Here is a 19,843-nt window from a genome sequence, read left to right as displayed (position 1 = left end):
ATTTATTGAATAGTTATATATGTAATATTATTAGTTGTAAAAGTCTATGAGACAGATTATATTGATTTCAAAATAGGCCCAAAAACTACACTTTACTGTCTGATGCTTTTCACTTATTTGTGGATAAATATACAAAAATGTAGATTAGGGCCCACTAGTAAACAGAATGTCCCTGTCAGGTATACAGGGTTATCTGTTTGACTGTATTTCCTGTTTTTTCATTTTGTATTAATACAGCTGTATTAGCCACCGTTTACTAGATGCTTAGGAATCAAGCACTACCATCTCATCTCTAAATCCAGAAACAACTTTGCTTAGAAGCTTGTTTCCCCATTTTATAAATGAAAAACTGGAGTGCAGAGATAGATTGCATTTCCAAAGCTACGTAGATAGTAAGTAGTTAGTATTCACTCCTGATTCTCTTTAGCTTTAAAGTGTATTTTTAAAATATATGTATTTTTTTCTAGACTGCAGACTGTTTTATAAAGTCTGTGTTTTTTTCCACTTCTTCCAACTGCCTAAAAATCACAAATAATATAAAATTACTTTTTAGCCATTTATTTTACTCATCCTCACCTTTCACACAAAATCATCCAAAACTAGTGAGCAACATAATTGATGTATGATTCTTATATTCTCTTTTTTCTACCAACCCTCTAGTGTAATTGGCCCCCAGGTTGCCAGCAAAAAGGAGACATTAGGACCTAGATTATCTAGTCCTACATAATTTAGTATTGAGCCTATATTACAAAACAGAAGACTGTATCTGTTGGCTTTTTTTCATCACTCCAGCCCATTCCAATTCCAGCTCCCCCTCCAACACACACACCATGTATTTTTCTCATTTAATTTCCCTAGATTAAGCATCTTTCAGTCACTCAATTTTGTACTTAAGTACTTTGCTTAAGAATTTTCTTCTCTATAAAGATTTTTCTGGGTTACCCAGCTACTTTGAGCCTTCCTTTTTTGGATTTTTGTTGCGAATTAGCGAAACTATAGCATTGTGTCTATATTCTGTAATCTCTTAATGAGTTTTGCTTTCTTTCTTTTCTTTTTTTTAAAAGACGGAATCTTGCTCTGTCTTCCAGGCTGGAGTGCAATGGCACGATCTTGGCTCATTGCACCCTCTGTCTCCCGGGTTCAAGCAATTCTCCTGCCTCAGCCTCCCGAGTAGCTGGGACTACAGACGCATGCCACCACACCCGGCTAATTTTTTTTTTTTTTTTTTTTGTAGTGGGTACGGGATTTCACAGTGTTGCCCAGGCTGGTCTCAAACTGAGCTCAGGCAGTCCATCCGCCTCAGCCTCCTAAAGTGTTTGGATTACAGGCATGAAAGTTTGCTTTCCTAAACAAAACTGAACAACTTTAGGATGGGTATTGAATTTTTTTTTTTTTTTTTTTTTTTTTTTTTACCAGCACAGCATCTCCCACTCATTCTATACTCCTACTTCTTTGTAGTTTCCACCCCTATCACACCGTTGAAGTAGCTCTTGTTAGGATCAGTAATGATCTTCATGTTATTAAATCCAGCAGACTTTTAAGTCTTTATTTTACTTGGCCGGTCAGTGCTAATCAGCACTATTAATGACTTTTTTATTCTTATAACCCTCTACTCCCTTGACTTCTGTGACATCACATTATCCCTGTTTTTCTCCTTTCTCAGCATTTATTCTTTCTTAGTCTCCTGTACAGATTTATCCATTTCTATCTATTCATCAGGTGTTGGAATTCCTCAAGGCCCAGTCCTTGGTGGTCTTTATTTTCCTCATGTTATTTCATCTGTATCTATTGCTTACTGTTTATTCTCTCAGAAGTTTTTATCTCTAATCCAGACTTCTTCTCTGAGCTCTAGACTCATATACATTCGTCCCTCAGTATCCTCAGGGATTGGTTCCAGGACACCCTACCCACTAGCCCCCTCTCAGATAGCAAAATTCGAGGATACTAATGAGTCCCTTATGTAAAATGACGTAGTATGCGTATCACCTATGCACATCCTCCTGTATACTTTAAATAATTTATAGGTTACTTATAATACCTAATACAATGTAAATGCTGTGTAAATAGTTGTTATGCTGTATTGTTTAGGGAAATAATGGCAAGAAAAAAATCTGTACATGTTAGTTACAGATACAACCATCTATTTGTTTTTCCTGAATATTTTAAATCTGCTGTTGGTTGAATCCACAAATGCAGAACCTCTGAATACAGAGGGCTGACTCATTGACTGCCTCATTGACTGCCATTTACATATCTCAAAGGCATCTCAAACACAACACATCCAAAACTGAACCTATGATTTCTCCTCTCCTCCCAGCAAATTTGATCTTCTTTCAATATTCTGTATTCATCTAATTGTACATGCCAGATACCTGAGTCATCTCAGAAGTCTTCCTTTCTCATTTCCTCCATTGACTAAGTTCTGTCAGTTTTGCGCTCCTAAATATCTCTCACATCCATTCATTTCTCTTCATTTCCTCTTTTACCTTTTCAGATTAAGATACTGCCTAGACTAATAGCCTCCTAACTGATCTTCATATATCCATTCTTTCCTCTTCTGAATCAGTTCTCCCATTTTAGTGTGAGTTTTTATAAAATGTAAATCCTGGCTGGGCACAGTTGCTCATGCCTGTAATCCCTGCACTTTGGGAGCCTGAGGTGCACAGATCACTTGATCCCAGGAGTTCCGGACCAGCCTGGACAGCATAATGAGACTCCATCCCCATTAAAAAAAAAAAAAAATTAACCCAATCATGTTGTCACTCTTCTTAAAGCCATTCAGTGGCCTCCCTTTGCTCTTAGGATAAAAGCCAAAATCCTTTATGTCGCCTACAATGCCTAGTAGAATGTGGCTGTGTCTCCTTCTCTAGTCTGTTATACTGTGGGACTCCACTTTGTTCTCTCCTATCACCACCCTTCTTCTGTGTCTTCAGACGTGCAGTTCTTTCTCTCACCTCAGACTCTGCGTATATTATTCCTTCAATCTAGAACAGTCTTCTTCATCTAAATAATTTTGCTTACTGATGTTTATACTCAATCACCATTTCCTCAGAGAAACCTTTCTTGACCCTCTAGTCTGAGTCAGAGGCCCCTGTTAGATGCTGCAGTCGTACCATGTTAAGTTTCACACCCAGAGATACTAACTCTTAATCCATCATAACCTTTAACAGTTGTAATTTTACATCTATGTGCATGACTATTTAATTAATGACACTTTCCTCTATGTCAAAAGACGTGAGGACTTCCATGTTAGTCCATTTTCATGCTGCTGATAAAGACATACCCAAGACGGGAAAGAAGAAGAGGTTTAATGGACTCACAGTTCCACATGGCTGGGGAGGCCTCACAGTCATGGCAGAAAGTGAAAGGCACTTCTTACATGGCAGCAGCAAGAGAGAATGAGAGAGAAGTGAAAGCGGAAACACCTCATAAAACCATCAGATCGGCTGGGCGCGGTGGCTCACTCCTGTAATCCCAGCACTTTGGGAGGCCGAGGCGGGTGGATCACCTGAGGCAGGGGATTCAAGACCAGCCTGACCAACATGGAGAAACCCCGTCTCTACTAAAAATACAAAATTAGCTGGGCGTGGTGGTACACACCTGTAATCCCAGCTACTTGGGAGGCTTAGGCAGGAGAATCGCTTGAACCCGAGAGGCAGAGGTTGCAGTGAGCCGAGATTGCATCATTGTACTCCAGCCTGGGCAACAAGAGCAAAACTCTGTCTCAATTTAAAAAAAACAAACAAAACAAAACAAAAAAAAAACAACGACAAAAAAAACCACCATCAGATCATCAGATTGACCGGCGCCGTGGCTCATGCTTGTAATCCCAGCACTTTGGGAGGTCAAGGCTGGTGGATCACCTGAGGTCAGGAGTTCGAGACCAGCCTGACCAACAAGGTGAAACCCCGTCTTTACTAAAAATACAAAAAGTAGCCAGGCATGGTGGCAGGCACCTGTAGTCCCAGCTCGGGAGGCTGAGACAGGAGAATTGCTTGAACCCAGTAGGCAGAGTTGCAGTAAGCTGAGATCACACCACTGCAGTCCAGCCGGGGCAACAGAGCGAGACTCCATCTCAAAAAAACAAACAAACAAACAAAAAAAAAACCCACCATCAGATCTCCTTAGACTTACTACCACAAGAACAGTATGGGGAAAATATCCCCATGATTCAGTTATCTCCCACAACAAGTGGGAATTATGGAAGTACAATTCAAGATGAGATTTGGGTGGGGACACCCAGCAAAACCATATCAACTTCTTTTTCATTCATCGGTATATTCCTAGTGTAATGCCTGGGACGTGGTGGACACCTAGTATCCGTGTGGTGGATGGATGAATGGATTAATGAATCAAATCCAACAAAGTTTAAGACACACTGTCGACGAGTAGTGAGTTGATCTGCTGTGAATTTGCTGGGAAGCTAAAAAGCATCTTTAATTTTGTGAGTGGTAGCAACATAGCATAAAGGAAAGTCTAGTGGCTATAGAGTTAGACACTCTTGGGTTCAAGTCCCCACCCCACCTCTGTGTATTATAAACTATGTGATTTTACATATGCCACCTAATCTTTTTGTGTCTTAATTTCCTGATCTGTAAAAATGAGACCATAATATATTATGGAGTTGTGAGGATTAAATCAAGTAATATAAGAAAAGTAGATAGCTGTGTTTTAGGAAGTAGGTAGTCAATAGGTATGAAGTTGTCTCTTCCTACTTTCTAAATTTTAATAAAATTTTTCCCCTTTCATGTTTAGTTGACATGTAATAATTGTATGTATTTATGGAATATAGAATGGTATTTTGGTGTATGTATATAATACTGATCAAATTAGGGTAATTAGCATATTCGTCACCTCAAACATTTTTCATTTCTTTGTGTTGTGAACATTCAAAATCCTCTCATCCACCTTTTTGAAAATATACAATAAATTGTAGTTAACCGTATTCACCCTATATTGCTGCAGAATACCAGCACTCATTCCTCCTATCTAGCTATAATTTTGTATCTACTAACCAACCTCTCCCCACCCTTCCAAGCCCCCGTTACACACTGTTCTACTATTTCCCATGAGCTCAAAAAATGTTTTATTCCCACATATGAATGAGAACATGCAATATTTATCTGTGCCTGACTTTAAATTTTGATAAAATCTTATGATAAAGTACAATGTGTGTGTGTGTGTTTGTGTGTGTGTGTGTGTGTGTGTGTGTGTGTTGTTACATAATAACATAAGATTCCTTAAAAGGTAGTTCTCTCATAGATCGCACTCACAAGTATCTTACCTTCAACAGTACTGGGAAACCTTCATTATGACACAGTCTCTCTAGTAATGTGGTCTCACACCCTAAAGGCGTTATACTGGGACTTTAACATACTTCCATAATTTATGCAGTACTAGAGTATATAGCTTCTCAGAGCTAAACTATTCAAATATAATTTATTTAAACTTGTTACATTAGCCATAGAGAATAACATTGGTACATTAGCAGTGTACATTTCTTTTCAATCCATTTGTATGAAGTGCCTGCTTCTATCCCTCATTTGTTGTTTTCTGGTGAAGGAAGAAGCTTTGGGCCAGATGACTAAATTCTGTTTCTTTTAGTAGGGCTGTAATAACTGGCTGTAAGTTCGCAAGAGTTCCTGTAATGGATGCAGTGCAGTCTTGAAAAAAATAAGACAGGTGTGTTTCATAGGTGCCTTCTTTAGGGAACCAAAAGAGAAGGATGGGGAAATATCTAATCTACACTTGTAACTTTTGGCCAGAGGGTAATAAATAGTAAAATGGTATGTTTTTACAGTTATAATTTATCTTCCTTTCTCCCCACCTCTCAGTAGAAATGAAGGTATGCGCTGTGGTGTACTGAAAAGTACACAGGATGCAGAGTGGTTCTGGGTTTGAAATCTAGATACCTTACTAGTTACCTGTGTCACCTCAGGCAAGTCTCTGTGATCTTTCAGCCTCAATTTCTCCCTCTGTATAATCAGAGAATTGGATTAAGTGACCTCTAAAGTATTACCTCTCTAAGATTCTCTGATTTCCTGTAGCCTAAGTTTTTCTTCATATGCATGGATAAGACTAACTTATAAATTACTGAGCATATTTGATCATTTGAAAGGGACAGATCATGGGAAAATGAATCTAAGCAAATATGCAAAATGCCATATGCCTCTGAGGCTGGTCTCCAGGTAAGTCCCTCAAAGCCAGGTGGCAGATGTTCAGCTGGGGGAGTGGCTTCACAGAGAAGAATAGTCTTTTATTCTACACACGTGTAATTAGGAAAAAGTGACTGCCCCTCAGTCCTTGATGAGATGCCACAATCACCAGGTAGTGTTCTAATTTTCAAAATTATATCAGTATTACTTAGCAAACCAGAGAAAGGTCAGCATTAGTGGGCATTCAGTAAAGTACATACTGTGAAGTCAACTCAGAAAGGAGAATACTCAGCCAAGGGGTGTGCAATAAATTTCCCAGAGCTGTGGCTAATTAACCAACCTGCATCAAAATAGCTCGAGCCACCAACCAACAGAAATAGTGATGAAGGGAATTGCCAATTTTCCCCATATCTAGGACTAAAGAGAATCCTAGAAATTTTTGTCAAAATTGAAAGTATCCATTTCAGTCTGTCGTAAAATACTTTGAGATTCTTTATCATGACATATTTTATATTAATACTTTGAATTGTAGAGTTAGGGAACATAGGGAAGAGAAATCCTTTTATGTGTGTGATACAGACTTCTAAGGTTTTGTTACCAAACTGTTTCTCCCATTTCAGTCTTCCCAGTGTGTCTTAATTGAACAAGTTTGGTTAAAGCAACTGAGATAAAAGTGAACGTAAATGCCTCCTAAGTCTTTTGGTAGAGTAAGAGTGTCGAGGAATCTTCATTATTAAAAGTAGCAAGGAAAAGACATTTAGGGAGTTGAGAAATTATTTATATTGTCTCACTTAACTAAATAAGATTAACTTTGTAAGATTAGAGATTACTTAAAACATGGTAGACAGAGGAAAATGGAAGAAAAGATTAACAAAGATTAAATTTTTGACGTTCCAAATTGACATCTATTATTGAGTACCCGTGTGGCAAGCATAACGTTAAAACATTCAAAAGAGAAAACAATAATGTTTATCGAGTATGTGCCGATAATTAACTTTTATCCCTTTCTTACAGATGAGGCTGCTACCTCTCAGTGCAGCAGTATAGTCACTCATGCAAAATCACACCGCTAGCAGGTATTGAAGCTAGGCTGTAAAGGCAGAAATACAGCATATATGGCAGCTTCATTAGAATCCTGATCTTTCTGGGAGTGAAGAGTTTGTGTGGGGTGGCAGGAAGAGCTATGGACTTAGAGCCAGGAGACTTGGGTTTTGTTCCTGGATATACCACTTGATCTTTCTTGTCCTCAGTATTCTCAGGGGATCATAGTCAATCTCTGGTGATAGAGGTCAGGAAAGAGGTTACTTTTGGTAGGGGTAGTAACTAAAAGAAGACCTTAGGAGGACTTTTTTGGGGTACTGCTATTGTTCAGTTTATTGATCCGTATGGTGCTTCATGGTGTGTTTGTGAAAATTTATAGAACTGTATACTAGTTATTTGTGTACTTTTTACACATATTTTATACTTTAAGTTTACTTTAAAAGGGAATTACACACTTGTATCATCACAGGTTTGTTGTGGAAATCAGATGAACAAATGTTTTTAAAATTGCTTTAAAAATTAAAATTCTATGCTATAAAAATAATGGAGTAAGGAATTATTGGGTGATAAAGATGGCTAGACAAGATAGGAACAATTATGGAGAGATTGGAGTGTTACAGATAGCTTGGGCTTTATCCAGTAAAAAACAGAGAGGCATTGTATGTATTCTAAGATACTGGCAAGATGAAAAAATTAACCTGACATATAGAATGGATTGGGGAAGGGGGGAATTAAAGACACATAAGATAATTATGGGACTTTTGCTTATAATCTCAACAGTGAAAATGGAGAGAAAGAAATGAACCTAAAACATTCTGAAGGAATAAACAGTGGTCTGTGTGTTAGTCCATTTTACTGAAATAGAGTTGCTCTAAGTTGCTATAAAAAAATACCTGAGACTGGCTGGGCACGGTGGCTCATGCTTGTGATCCCAGCACTTTGGGAGGCCAAGGCAGGCAAATCACAAGGTCAGGAGTTCGAGACCAGCCTGGCCAACATGGTGAAACCTGTCTCTACTAAAAATACGAAAAATTAGCTGAGCGTAGTGGCAGGTGCCTATAATCCCAGCTACTTGGGAGGCTGAGGCAAGAGAATCGCTTGAACCCGGGAGGTGGAGGTTGCAGTGAGCCGAGATCACGCCACTGCACTCCAGCCCAGGCGACAGAATGAGGCTACATTAAAAAAAAAAAAAACACCTGAGACTTGGTAATTTATAAAACAAAGAGTTTTATTTGGCTCGTGGTTCTGCAGACTGTACAAGAATGGCATCAACTTCTCAGCTTCTGGTGTGGCCTCAGGAAGCTTTTACTCATGACAAAAAGGCAAAGAGGGAACAGGCATGTCACACAGCAAAACAGAGAGCAAGAAAGAAGGGAAGCGATGTCAGTCTGTTTTAAACAACCAGTTCTCATGTGAACTAATAGAGCAAGAAGCCATTACCATCGGAATGGCACAACGCCATTCATGAGGAGGCCACCCCCATGATCCAACACCTGCCCCTAGGCCCCACCTCCAATATTAGAGGGTCACATTTCAACGTGAATTTGGGAGGGCACAAATATCCAAACCATATCAGTCTATGAAATAAACTAGAAAGAAAAGATAAGGAAGAGAGAAGAGTCACAAGTCATTCCCATAGGTCATACTTTAATTATAAAAAGTAGAGTGGTGCCGTTTACTGAAATGTTGTCCTCTCTCAAGTGGAGGAACTCATAAGTGAACCTTTGTGGAGTTCTCAACTGATGTTTTCTTCTGGTTCACTTGAAATTTAGAGCTCACTAAGGAAGGAAGCAATGTGGTAAAACAGTCTTGACCATGAGGGAAAGGGAATACATGTTTGGGAGCAAGGTAAGAATTTCATTCCTTTGAAGCCATTAGTAGTATCTTTGCAAAATGTAAGACTTTTGCCTCTTTCAGACAGCAGCAGTAGTAAAACTGGCTAGCCATTATAGTAGCCAAAGTCCATTTTCAGTCATTGTTGCCTGCAGCCCATCTGCATCTCTTCACCATCACATCTGGAAAGCCCTCTTTCCTAATTGTACCTAGTTTGTTTTTAGGGCCAAAATACTGTGTATTTCAGCAGTTACAGCAAAAACCACAAACATGTTTCCTATGGTTTGTGGAACATTCTTTTTCTTCTGATACTAGTGTGTAACCTTGCCCCATTGTTGGTAACAGCCTGTGAGAAACTGAATAAGGAGGCGTTCAATTTGTGGTTTTCATCAATATTTAAAAATACTGAGATAGGTGAGAAGAGAGGTGGCAGAGGAAGGGCCATTAAACTTTTTCCCTCTTTCAGCTTTAGCGTGGACAAGGTTATGTATTGTAAGCCTTGTTCCTATCTAGCCTATGTTTTTTTTTTAATTCAGGGTCTGAGTTTTATTTTCAGTGCATTGATTGGAATCAAAGAGTCAGAAGGGAGTGTCATAAATAGAAATCAGGGTTTGTTCAGCTTGAATACCAACACAAACTATTTCTAGACAGCATGCCACTGCAGCTGTGTGACTTAAGCAGAATCAAAACTCATATTAACTGGAGGAAGATGTGTCAGAGAGCATTCTGGGCCTACAAGATGTACCCAAAGTGGAATTGGTTTTGTTAAGGAATAGAGGAATTAGGGAAAGCTTAGGAAAATGATCTGTAGTCTCCATTGTTACCTGTGTAGGAGAGTAAAAGGTCGGCAGAGCTAAACTCCTTCTGCTTAGTTCAAGCCTCCCAACGATGCACAGAAACACAATAGAGATTTTTAGTTGCAAAAGTGCTCAAATTTGGTCAACTTTAAAGAAGTTTTGCTCTGCAACCAGTGAATTCCTTAATGATAGATTTAGTTCTGGTTCCTGTTCATTATGTAACTCATTACTCCCGGTAACCGCCAGACCTACAGATAAACTATGTGTATCTTCTGGTCCTACCTTCCTTTCTCTTTGAATTATATCTTTTTCCATAAAGTACAGACGATTGTCCATTCAGAAGGACTTTTAAAAATTCAAGTTTATGGCTGATTTTTGGCTGTGGTTAATTGAAGTTCCAAGAAAAAGAGTAATATAGGAAGGCTGAATTATTTGGAGGGTTCCTATGCCATTATTTATCATCTTAGAAATAATCATAGAGCTGGGCATGGTGACTCATGCCTGTCATCCCACCACTTTGGGAGGTAGAAGCAGGAAGATCGCTTGAGCCAAGGAGTTTGAGACCAGTGTGGGCAACAAATTGAGACCCTGTCTGTACAAAAAAAAATAATATTAACCTGGTGTGGTAACCTGTGCCTGTAATCTTAGCTACTCAGAGAGGCTGAGTTAGGAGGATTGCTTGAGCCTGGGAGGTCAAGGCGGCATTGAGCCACACTCATACCACTGCACTCCAGCCTGAGTGGCAGAGTGAGACCCTGTCTCAAAAATAAAAAAAAAAATCGGCCAGACACGGTGGCTGACGCCTGTAATCCCAGAACTTTAGGAAGCCGAGGCAGGTGGATCACAAGGTCAAGAGATCGAGACCAGCCTGGCCAACATGGTGAAATCCCTTCTCTACTAAAAATATAAAAAATTAGCTGAGCATGGTGGCGAGCTCCTGTAGTCCCAGCTACTCGGGAGGCTGAGGCAGGAAAATCTCTTGAACCTGGGAGGCAGAGGTTGCAGTGAGTGAGATCGCACCACTACACTCCAGCCTGGCAACAGAGTGAGACTCCATCTCAAAAAAATTTAAAAAAAAAATTGAAAAATTTAAAAAAAGAATCATAGTTGAAACTCATAAATAAGTATGTGTTTGGTCATCTAACTAAAAGATATGGATACTTCGTAACAGGAAGTTCAAAAGCTTGCAGCTCATTTCCCAGGGCAAAGGTGATGTGCTCCAGCTTGCTTAAGATGTGCTCTAGAGTCCGGCTATTTGGAGAGCCTGGCATGCAACAGCCAAATGGGCAGAAAATGGGTATTGACGGTTGCTCAATTTCAGAGTCACCTTTGCAGTACTCTAAAAGCACACTGGAATTGGCTGGAAGAGCCATTAGTAGACAATCAATATCTGAGCTTTTGATAGTGACCATGGTCTATATGATTATTTGTGGTACTTTATCTGTATTTTTCTTGTAGCACCTAATGCTTTATGGTTAGCTATGATAAAATCTAATCTCTGCTGTAGCACTTTTTATTTATTCATGAACCTTCCCCACTTTCCCTAATCAAAGTTAATTCCTCCTGTCTTTATTGTCCTTGGCTCTATAAGCCAGTCTCAGCCTCCCATAAACCACAGACCTGCCTGCCCATAAAGGCAAGTTGTCATCACCCGCAAATGCCAACTTTCTTGTTTCCAACCTGCCTGCACTCTTAACCGGCTCCCAATAACTTGTGAAACACACAATCAAGTTTTTGTCATTACTTCTCCAAGAAATTTGTGTAATTGCCTGTGTGTTTGTATTATATCTTTATGTACCTTTTATCTCTAGGAGAACCCAGGAGAAAGAGGTAGTTTTTCTAGTAACTAGCCCAGTTGTTATCAGGGGGAGATACAAGGTAGAAGAATTCTACCTGGAATTTCAATCCTAACTAAAGAGTGTGAAAATTTGAGGGAATTGTTCTAGTGATCTTTAGAGAATGCAGTATTTTTGATATACCAGAAGAAAGTACACTCTGTGTATTCAAAATGTGTCTTTATTTGTAATTGAAGAATACTCTGCTGTATTATAACTTCTCAGAGAGTGTGCAGAATCTTTAGCTAGGTAGGAGGATATAGTTATAAAAGAAAAACAGGAAGTATTAGAATCTGATACGGTGGAAGGGAACCTAAACCTGAAGTAAAAGAGAAAAGAAGAATGTTACATGGAGGAAGAAAAGACAACAAGGGCTGGGCACAGTGGCTCACGCCTGTAATCCCAGCACTTTGGAGGCCCAGGTGGGCAGATCACTTGAGGTCAGGAGTTAGAGGCCTGCCTGCCCAACATGGTGAAACCCCATCTCTACTACAAAAATTAGGTATAAAAATTAGCCAGGCGTGGTGGCATGCATCTGTAATACCAGCTACTCGGGAGGCTGAGGCAGGAGAATCACTTGAACCTGAGAAGCGGAGGTTGCAGTGAGCTGAGATCACACCACTGCATTCCAGCCTGGGCGACACAGTGAGACTCAGTCTCAGGAAAAAAAAAAAAAAAAAAAAAAAGACAAGGCTTTTGTGGGCTTTTCTTCAGAGGTTCACCTGACCTTGTTGAAAAAGAAATAGTACCATTTGGTCCTGAAATAATTATGAGACATTGTAAAGGAATGCTTTGCTCAAAAGATACAGGTATCTTAAGAGGGGAAGCAACTTTGCACTCTTGTCAAGGAAACATGTAGGAGACTGACCACTGGAGAGAATGTGAATTTTCAGACCATGTAGGCAAAGAAAGAACAAAGATGATATGTGTTCCTCCTGCATACCATTAAATTAGTACCAAGTAAAGATATAGTAGTGGTGTGGGACTGTATCCAGATGTCTTCTAAAATTTTTATCCCGTGAAAATAGCCTATTTTGGTAAGTTCTTCCATACTGATTCGTTTATCTCCCAGAGTACAGAGGAAGAAAATAGGAGAACTACTGTTCTTCCTTTAATTCTAATTAACATTGAAGGATTGTTTGGGAGGGTGGAAGTTTAAGAGTCCACGTAGATGAGGAAAAAGCAACATGGAAAACTGTTTTATGTGCACATATAGTTTGTGCTTCTCCCTCAGTGGGAATTATGCTTCCCCGTCCCATTAATGTGACCTGAGTCATATGACTTGCATTGGTCGAGGAATGTGAGAAGTGACATACATACGTTGCTTCTGTACAAATGCTTTTAGTACATAGTCATACATGATCTTTTTCCCATCTGCCCCAAGACCAACAGTACCCTAGAAAGAGATTATTCTATCAGTTTTAGACCAGGGTGGACATGTGGCCTGTGTTTTTAAAAGGCCTTTCATTGTTTTAAACTAGTGGTTCTCAACCAGGGATTATTATGTTCCCCTCTTTCTTCACCAAGGAACATTTGTAATGTCTGGAAATGTTTTTGGTTGTTACAACAAGGGGAGTATAACTGGCCTATAGTGGGTAGAGGCTAGTTATGCTTCTCAATATCCCACAGTGCACAGTTGAGGCCTCCACAACAAAGAAGTATCTAGTTAAAAATGTTATTAATGTTGAGATTGAGAAACCTGGTTGTAAGCTTCTGGGGTTGTTTGTGACTATAGCTTAGCCTAGCCTATCCTGACTAATACAACAACTTTCACCTTAATTTTATACTAAGTGCAGCAATAGTTGTGTATAACCAGTTAGGTACACTGGAAATTAGGAAGGCAAGTTTGGGAGAAAAAAAAATTTTTTTTTTTAACGTAGCTATCCTACCATGGTATAAGGTTTTTAAGGTGACTTGGCCAGGCGCGGTGGCTCACGCCTGTAATCCCAGCACTTTGGGAGGCTGAGGCAGGCGGATCACGAGGTCAGGAGATCCGAGACCATCCTGGCTAACGTGGTGAAACCCTGTCTCTACTAAAAATACAAAAAAATTAGCCGGGCATGGTGGCAGGTGCCTGTAGTCCCAGCTACTCGGGAGGCTGAGGCAGGAGAATAGCATGAACCGGGGAGGTGGAGTTTGCAGTGAGCCGAGATCGCACCACTGCACTCCAGCCTGGGTGACAGAGCAAGACTCCAACTCAAAAAAAAAAAAAAAAAAAACATTTTTTAGGTGACTCAAAAGGTTTAGAAACTTCCAGTTACACAACTATAACTGTGCAGTTGCAGATATTCCAGATAAATAAAAGCCAGAGAGAAAAGTCAGTGTGGTTGCACAGTGAACTCTCTCCTGAACTCAAATATTAAAGGAAGTTTATAATCAAAATAAATATGAGTCTTTTATATTCCTTTAAACATAGCATTAAAAGAATTAAGATCCAAAATTAACGTGGTTTAGATCTGCATGCAAAGATACCCAGAGGACTTTTGTTTGTTTTAGTTATCTTAGCAGCAAGATCCAGCAACAAGTACATCTCTCATTTGATGCTCATGAACTGCATAGAGAAAGCAGAACATCTTACCAAGGATTGCCTCATCTTCCTCATCACTGGCCACCAGTCTCATCTGGTCTACCTCCTTCCGGTTATTCCATAGTCTCTGATTCTCCAGCATCTTTTTGAGGCAGTAGACCTTTCTAACCCTGGCTTTAACCTTTACATGTACTTAAAGTATCAAAAGTGATTACTGCCGGGCACAGTGGTTCACATCTGTAATCCCAGCACTTTGGGAGGATGAGGCGGGTGGATCACGAGGTCAAGACCTCGTGGTTCAAGATCAGGTGGTTCAAGACCAGCCTGGCCGACATAGTGAAACCCCGTCTCTACTAAAAATACAAAAATTAGCTGGGCACGGTGGCATGTGCCTGTAATCCCAGCTACTCGGGAGGCTGAGGCGGAGGTTGCAGTGAGCCAAGATCGCGCCACTGCACTGCAGCCTGGCCTACAGAGCGAGAGTCCGTCTCAAAAAAAAAAAAAAAGTGATTACTACCCACCCTTGTCCCATGGAATCACTCCTATTTTGAAGCCTTGAAAATGATAGGTTTTGAATATACCTATCCCTTCTTTTTTGTTTTGTTTCGTCTGGTTCTGACAAGTCATTGTTTCATATATATAATAAGTATATGCAACATTCTAACGTTATGGGGTATAATGTACTGTTTTGATATGTGTATACAATGTGGTATGATTAAATCAAACTAATTAGCAGATCCTTCACCTGACTTATCTATCATTTTTATAGTGAGACATTTGAAATTTACTCTTAGTTATTTTAAAATATATAATATGTATTGTTGACTCTAGTCACCTTGTATGTAATAAATCTCAAAATCTATTCTTCTGCCTGAAATTTTGCACCTTTTGATTAATAACTCATTCCCCTGTCTCCCATTCCTCTGTCCATCTGAAACTTTGTACCCTTTGATCAGCAACTCTTCGTTCCCTTCCTTCCCACTCCAGCCTCTGGTAACCATCATTCTATTATATATTTCTATTCATTCAGCTTATTAGATTCCATATGTAAGTGAAATTATGTGGTATTTGTCTTTCTGTGGTTGGCATATTTCACTTAGCACATTATCCTCTGGATTCATCCATGTGTCACAAGTGACTGGATTTACCCCCTTCTTAAGGCTGAATAGTATTTTATTGTGTATATATATACACAATATTTGTCCATTCATCTGTTGATGGGCACGTAGGTTGTTTCTGTATCTTTACTATTGTGAGTAATGCTGCAGTGAACATTAGAGTGCAGATATCACCACCAATATACTGATTTCTATTCTTCTGGATATATATACCCAGAAGTGGGATTGCTGAGGTGTATGTTCTGTTTTTAGGTTTTTGAGGAACTTCCATACCATTTCTCATAATGACGGTACTAATTTACATTCCCACCAACAGTGTATAAGAGTTCCTTTTCTCTGTATCCTCTCCAAACTTATTTTTCATCTTTTTTATAACAGCCATTCAAAGCTGGGCCTGATGGTGGCATGTACCTATAATCCCAGCTACTTAGGAGGCTGAGGCAGGAGATCGCTTGAACCCAGGAGTTCAAGTCCAGCCTGAGCAACACAGCAAGACCCCATCTCTATTTAAAAATATAAATGTAGGAAGAAAAAAAAAAACACTAACAGGTGTGAAGTGATAACTCAGTGTGGTTTTATTTTTCATTTTCTTAATAATTAGTGATTTTGAGCATTTTTTCTTGCACCTGTTAGTCATTTGTATGTTTGTTTGTTTTTTTTTTGAGAAATGTCTGTTCAGTTCCTTTACCTTTTTTTAATCACGTTATTTTCTTGTTGAGTTGTATGAGTTCCTTATGTATTTTGGGTATTAACCCCTTATAAGATGTATGGTTTGCAAATATTTTCTCCCATTCTTTGAGTTGTCTCTTCACTTTGTTAATTGTTTCCTTTGCTGTGCAGAAACTTTTTAGTTTGATACTGTCTCATTTGTCTGGTTTTGCATTGGTTGTCTGTGCTTTTGGAGTCATCTCCAAAAAAATCATTGCCCAGACTAATGTCATAGAACTTTTTCTCTATATTTATTTCTGGTAGTTTTATGATTTCAGATCTTATATTTAAATCTTTAATCCATTTTGAGTTAATTTTAGAGCTAAACAAGGATGAAATGCTCTGTTTCAAGGATACTGTTTCTCAGGCTTTAAATATTTTCAAGCAGAAGCCAGAGAGCCACTGGTTGACTATTCTTTTCCAAAGTTGATTGCCTATAATTCTAAATTTAACACTCTGGATTGAAGGTAAGAAAAGAACAAAATTTTTACCATGTGTCTCTCAACTCCTATCATATTTTAGCCATATCTAAAAGCAAGACACCAGGAAATAAAGATACCAGACTTCCTCCTTGCTCTGAGGACAGAAGGGATAACTGCAGGGTCCTGATTAGAGCCCAGCCATATTAATTGTGTAGCTGTTCTTGCTCACTCTGATTCAGCCTAGTGATGAGGGTCAGAGCTGATGTTTTTCTCTTTAATCATAGTAATGAGGATAAGGTATACAGCACTGGGGGTACAATCTTGAATTATTCTTTATTGTTGATTATTCATAAAGTATATCTCAATCAAAAGTTTCTAAATCAAAACTGGGAAGGGGATGGCTTAACGGCAAAGTGAGGCAAAGTTTTTAAAATGTTTATAATGTAATGTGACATTTAAAGATTAAAATGTGTTTTATGGATTTCTCATTTTTCATTTGTTACATGAAATCTTAGTTTTTTACCTTCAGGTTCTTGGGCTTAAAAATGTCTACCTGCCCAAAAGACAGGAAAGTCACAAAATAATACAGATAGCAAATAAATATATATATATTTTTTTGAGACAAGGTCTTGCCTGTCGCCTAGACTAGAGTACAGGTGGTATAATCATGGCTGACTGTAACTTCGAACTCCTGGGCTCAAGTGATATTCCTGCCTCAGTTTGACAAGTAGCCGGGACCACAGGCATGCACCACCACACCTAGCTGCAAATAAACATTTTAAAATTATTTTGTAGGGACGGAGTCTTGCTGTGTTGCCCAGGCTGGTCTCAAATTCCTGGCCTCAAGCAGTCCTCCCACCTCAGCTTCCCAAGTAGCCAAGACTACAAGCACATGCCACTGTGCCCAGCCACAAATAAACATTTAAAAAAAATTTTTTTAATTGTTTTTTGGGAGACAGACAAAATCTCGCTTTGTCATCCAGGCTGGAGTACAGTGGCATGATCTTGGCTCACTGCAACCTCCGCCTCATAAGTTCAAGCAATTCTTCGTGCCTCAGCCTCCAGAACAGCTGGGACTACAGGCATGCGCCACTGCACTTGGCTAATTTTTGTATTTTTGGCAGAGAGGGGGTTTCACTAGGTTGGCCAGGCTGGTCTCGAACTCCTGACCTCAGGTGATCCGCCCACCTCGGCCTCCCAAAGTATTGGGATTACAGGCGTAAGCCACCGCACCCGGCCTGAAAAATTAAATATTACTAATTTAATAATTGAAGAAATATAATTAATTTAGTAATACTAATTAGTAATTGAAGAAATACAAATTAAAATATTAAGCTATCATTTTCCCTTACTAAGAGTTTTTTGATGTTTTCTATTATAAAACTATAATACCTGTTTAGTATAGAAAATAAGAAAATACAAATAAAAGAGGAAAACAATTTTAAAATACTTGTAATCTCATCACAGTAGCAACACAACATCTCATTATGTAGATGATAGTCTTTTTTCTATCCATGTCTAAAACTTATCTAATAGTCTGTTGATGTACATTTGAACTTTTTGTCATAAGTAATGCTGTAATAAACATCTTGCATGTTAATCTTTTTTTGCATCTCTGATTTTCTTAGGATAGGTTCCTTGAACTGCTTGCTGAGTCAAAACATATTGCATTTTTCAGGCGTTTGGTTATCTGTTGCCAAATTGCTGACCAGAAAAGTTGTATCAGTTATATGAGCTTATTGGTTTATCCATTCTATAATCTGTATTCTTTATTTTATTTTCCTATATTTTTTCTTTCAGACTTAGTCTTGCAGATATATTATTTTCTTATCACCCTTTTTTTTTTTTTTGTTTTGTTTGAGACAGAGTCTTGCTCTGTCGCCCAGGCTAGAATGCAGTGGTGCAATCTTGGCTCGCTGTGACCTCCACCTCCTGGGTTTAAGCAATTCTCCTGCCTCGGCCTCCCAAGTAGCTGGGATTACAGGCATGCACCACCAAGCCCAGTTAATTTTTTGTATTTTAGTAGAGACGGGGGTTGTACCATGTTGCCCCCAAGGTGGTCTTGAACTCCTGAGCTCAGGCAGTCTGCCCACCTCAGCCTCCCAAAGTGCTAGGATTACAGGTGTGAGCTACTGTGCCCAGCCATCATCTCCATTTTGATAACTCCAGAATGGTATCTTGTTTTTTTAATTTTATACTTCTTTGATTAATAATCAGAATTTATTTTATATGTCCTAATAACAATACTACAAATTAAACTCTTCATTGCCACATTATAAGAAAAAACAGACAAAAATATACACACCTTAAATGTTCAACTAAAAAGGAAAGCAGTTAAATAATTATAATTCTAATCAATAAACTATTAAACATTAAAGCTATTAAAACATAATGTGAAGTATTTTTACTAATATAGGAAAAATATTAGTTTGTAATATTAGGTAAGACAAGTGGTAAGTTTTTATCTGTAATTATACTTTATAAATGTATAAGGGAAAAAATTTGAAAGGAAATCCACAAAAATGTAATTTTCTGGTACTGATAGGTGATTTTTAATGTTTCATAATTTTTAACACTATCCACATTTTTATAATTAACATTTCTATCACATTTATGAAGAAAATACATTTGTGTTCAGTATACTACACAAATGGTGCAAGAGAGAGGAAATTGTCCACTTATAATTTGTATGTAGTCAGTAAGATTCTGGTAGGTAGTTAATTAGCCATTGCCAAAATGTTAAAGGTTTACTTGCTTCAGAAACTGACTGTTGGAATCACCTGAAAATATAATGCTAATAATTTTTTTTTTTTCCTTAGGTTGCTGCTGTTGATCTTCTGGTTCCTGGAGTTGGGGAACTCTTTGGAGGAGGCCTCAGAGAAGAACGATACCATTTCTTAGAGGAGCGCTTAGCCAGGTACTGGTCAGACCTAAAAGAAACACAATTGAGAAATTGAGCATAAGGCGCTCAAAGGTGGTCATTGCATAGTAACAGAGTGAAGACCCTGGGCCTCGGCGCCTGACAGAACTGGATCTCAGATTCTCTATGTCCTTGAGCAAGTTGTTAGTTTATCTCTGAGCTTCCCGTTCTTCAGGAATGGAACTCTTACATGAAAAACCCACAGTGATATTTGCCCATTTTTACAAACCTTTCCCTATGGAAAGTAGCTTTTTAAAAAGTTAAAATGTGAAGAGAGAGTTCCCCCTTAAAGCTTGTCCTACATTTTTTTTTAATTTTTTTTTTTTTTTTTGAGACGGAGTCTTGCTGTGTTGCCCAGGCTGGAGTGCAGTGGCGCGATCTTGGCTCACTGCAAGCTCTGCCTCCCGGGGTTCACGCCATTCTCCTGCCTCAGCCTCCCAAGTAGCTGGGACTACAGGCGCCCGCCACCACGCCCGGCTAATTTTTT

The 19,843-nt window shown here is 38.9% G+C and overlaps 1 protein-coding gene across 24 annotated transcripts in view; it reads left to right on the top strand.

The window, feature by feature from the left end:
* Positions 1-19,843, top strand: part of NARS2 (asparaginyl-tRNA synthetase 2, mitochondrial) — a 138,897-nt gene that overhangs the window by 111,851 nt on the left and 7,203 nt on the right. For 20 of the 24 annotated variants that reach the window (NR_189155.1, NR_189156.1, NM_001425314.1 and 17 more), the window contains one exon: positions 19,256-19,353. Coding sequence is in view for 20 of the 24 variants with exons in the window: in NM_001425314.1 (NP_001412243.1) it covers positions 19,256-19,353 (98 nt within the window). In the remaining 4 variants the exon portion in view is untranslated. Of the gene's footprint in view, positions 1-5,607; positions 9,045-19,255; positions 19,354-19,843 lie in introns of those variants that run through there. The other 4 variants (NR_189157.1, XM_047427593.1, NR_189154.1 and 1 more) reach the window with 4 other exon arrangements.

Source organism: Homo sapiens, chromosome 11 (assembly GCF_000001405.40).
Source record: "Homo sapiens chromosome 11, GRCh38.p14 Primary Assembly".
Taxonomy (NCBI): domain Eukaryota; kingdom Metazoa; phylum Chordata; class Mammalia; order Primates; family Hominidae; genus Homo; species Homo sapiens.
The sequence above is the reverse complement of the archived record's forward strand: the minus strand, read 5'-3'. Positions and strand labels throughout refer to the sequence as shown.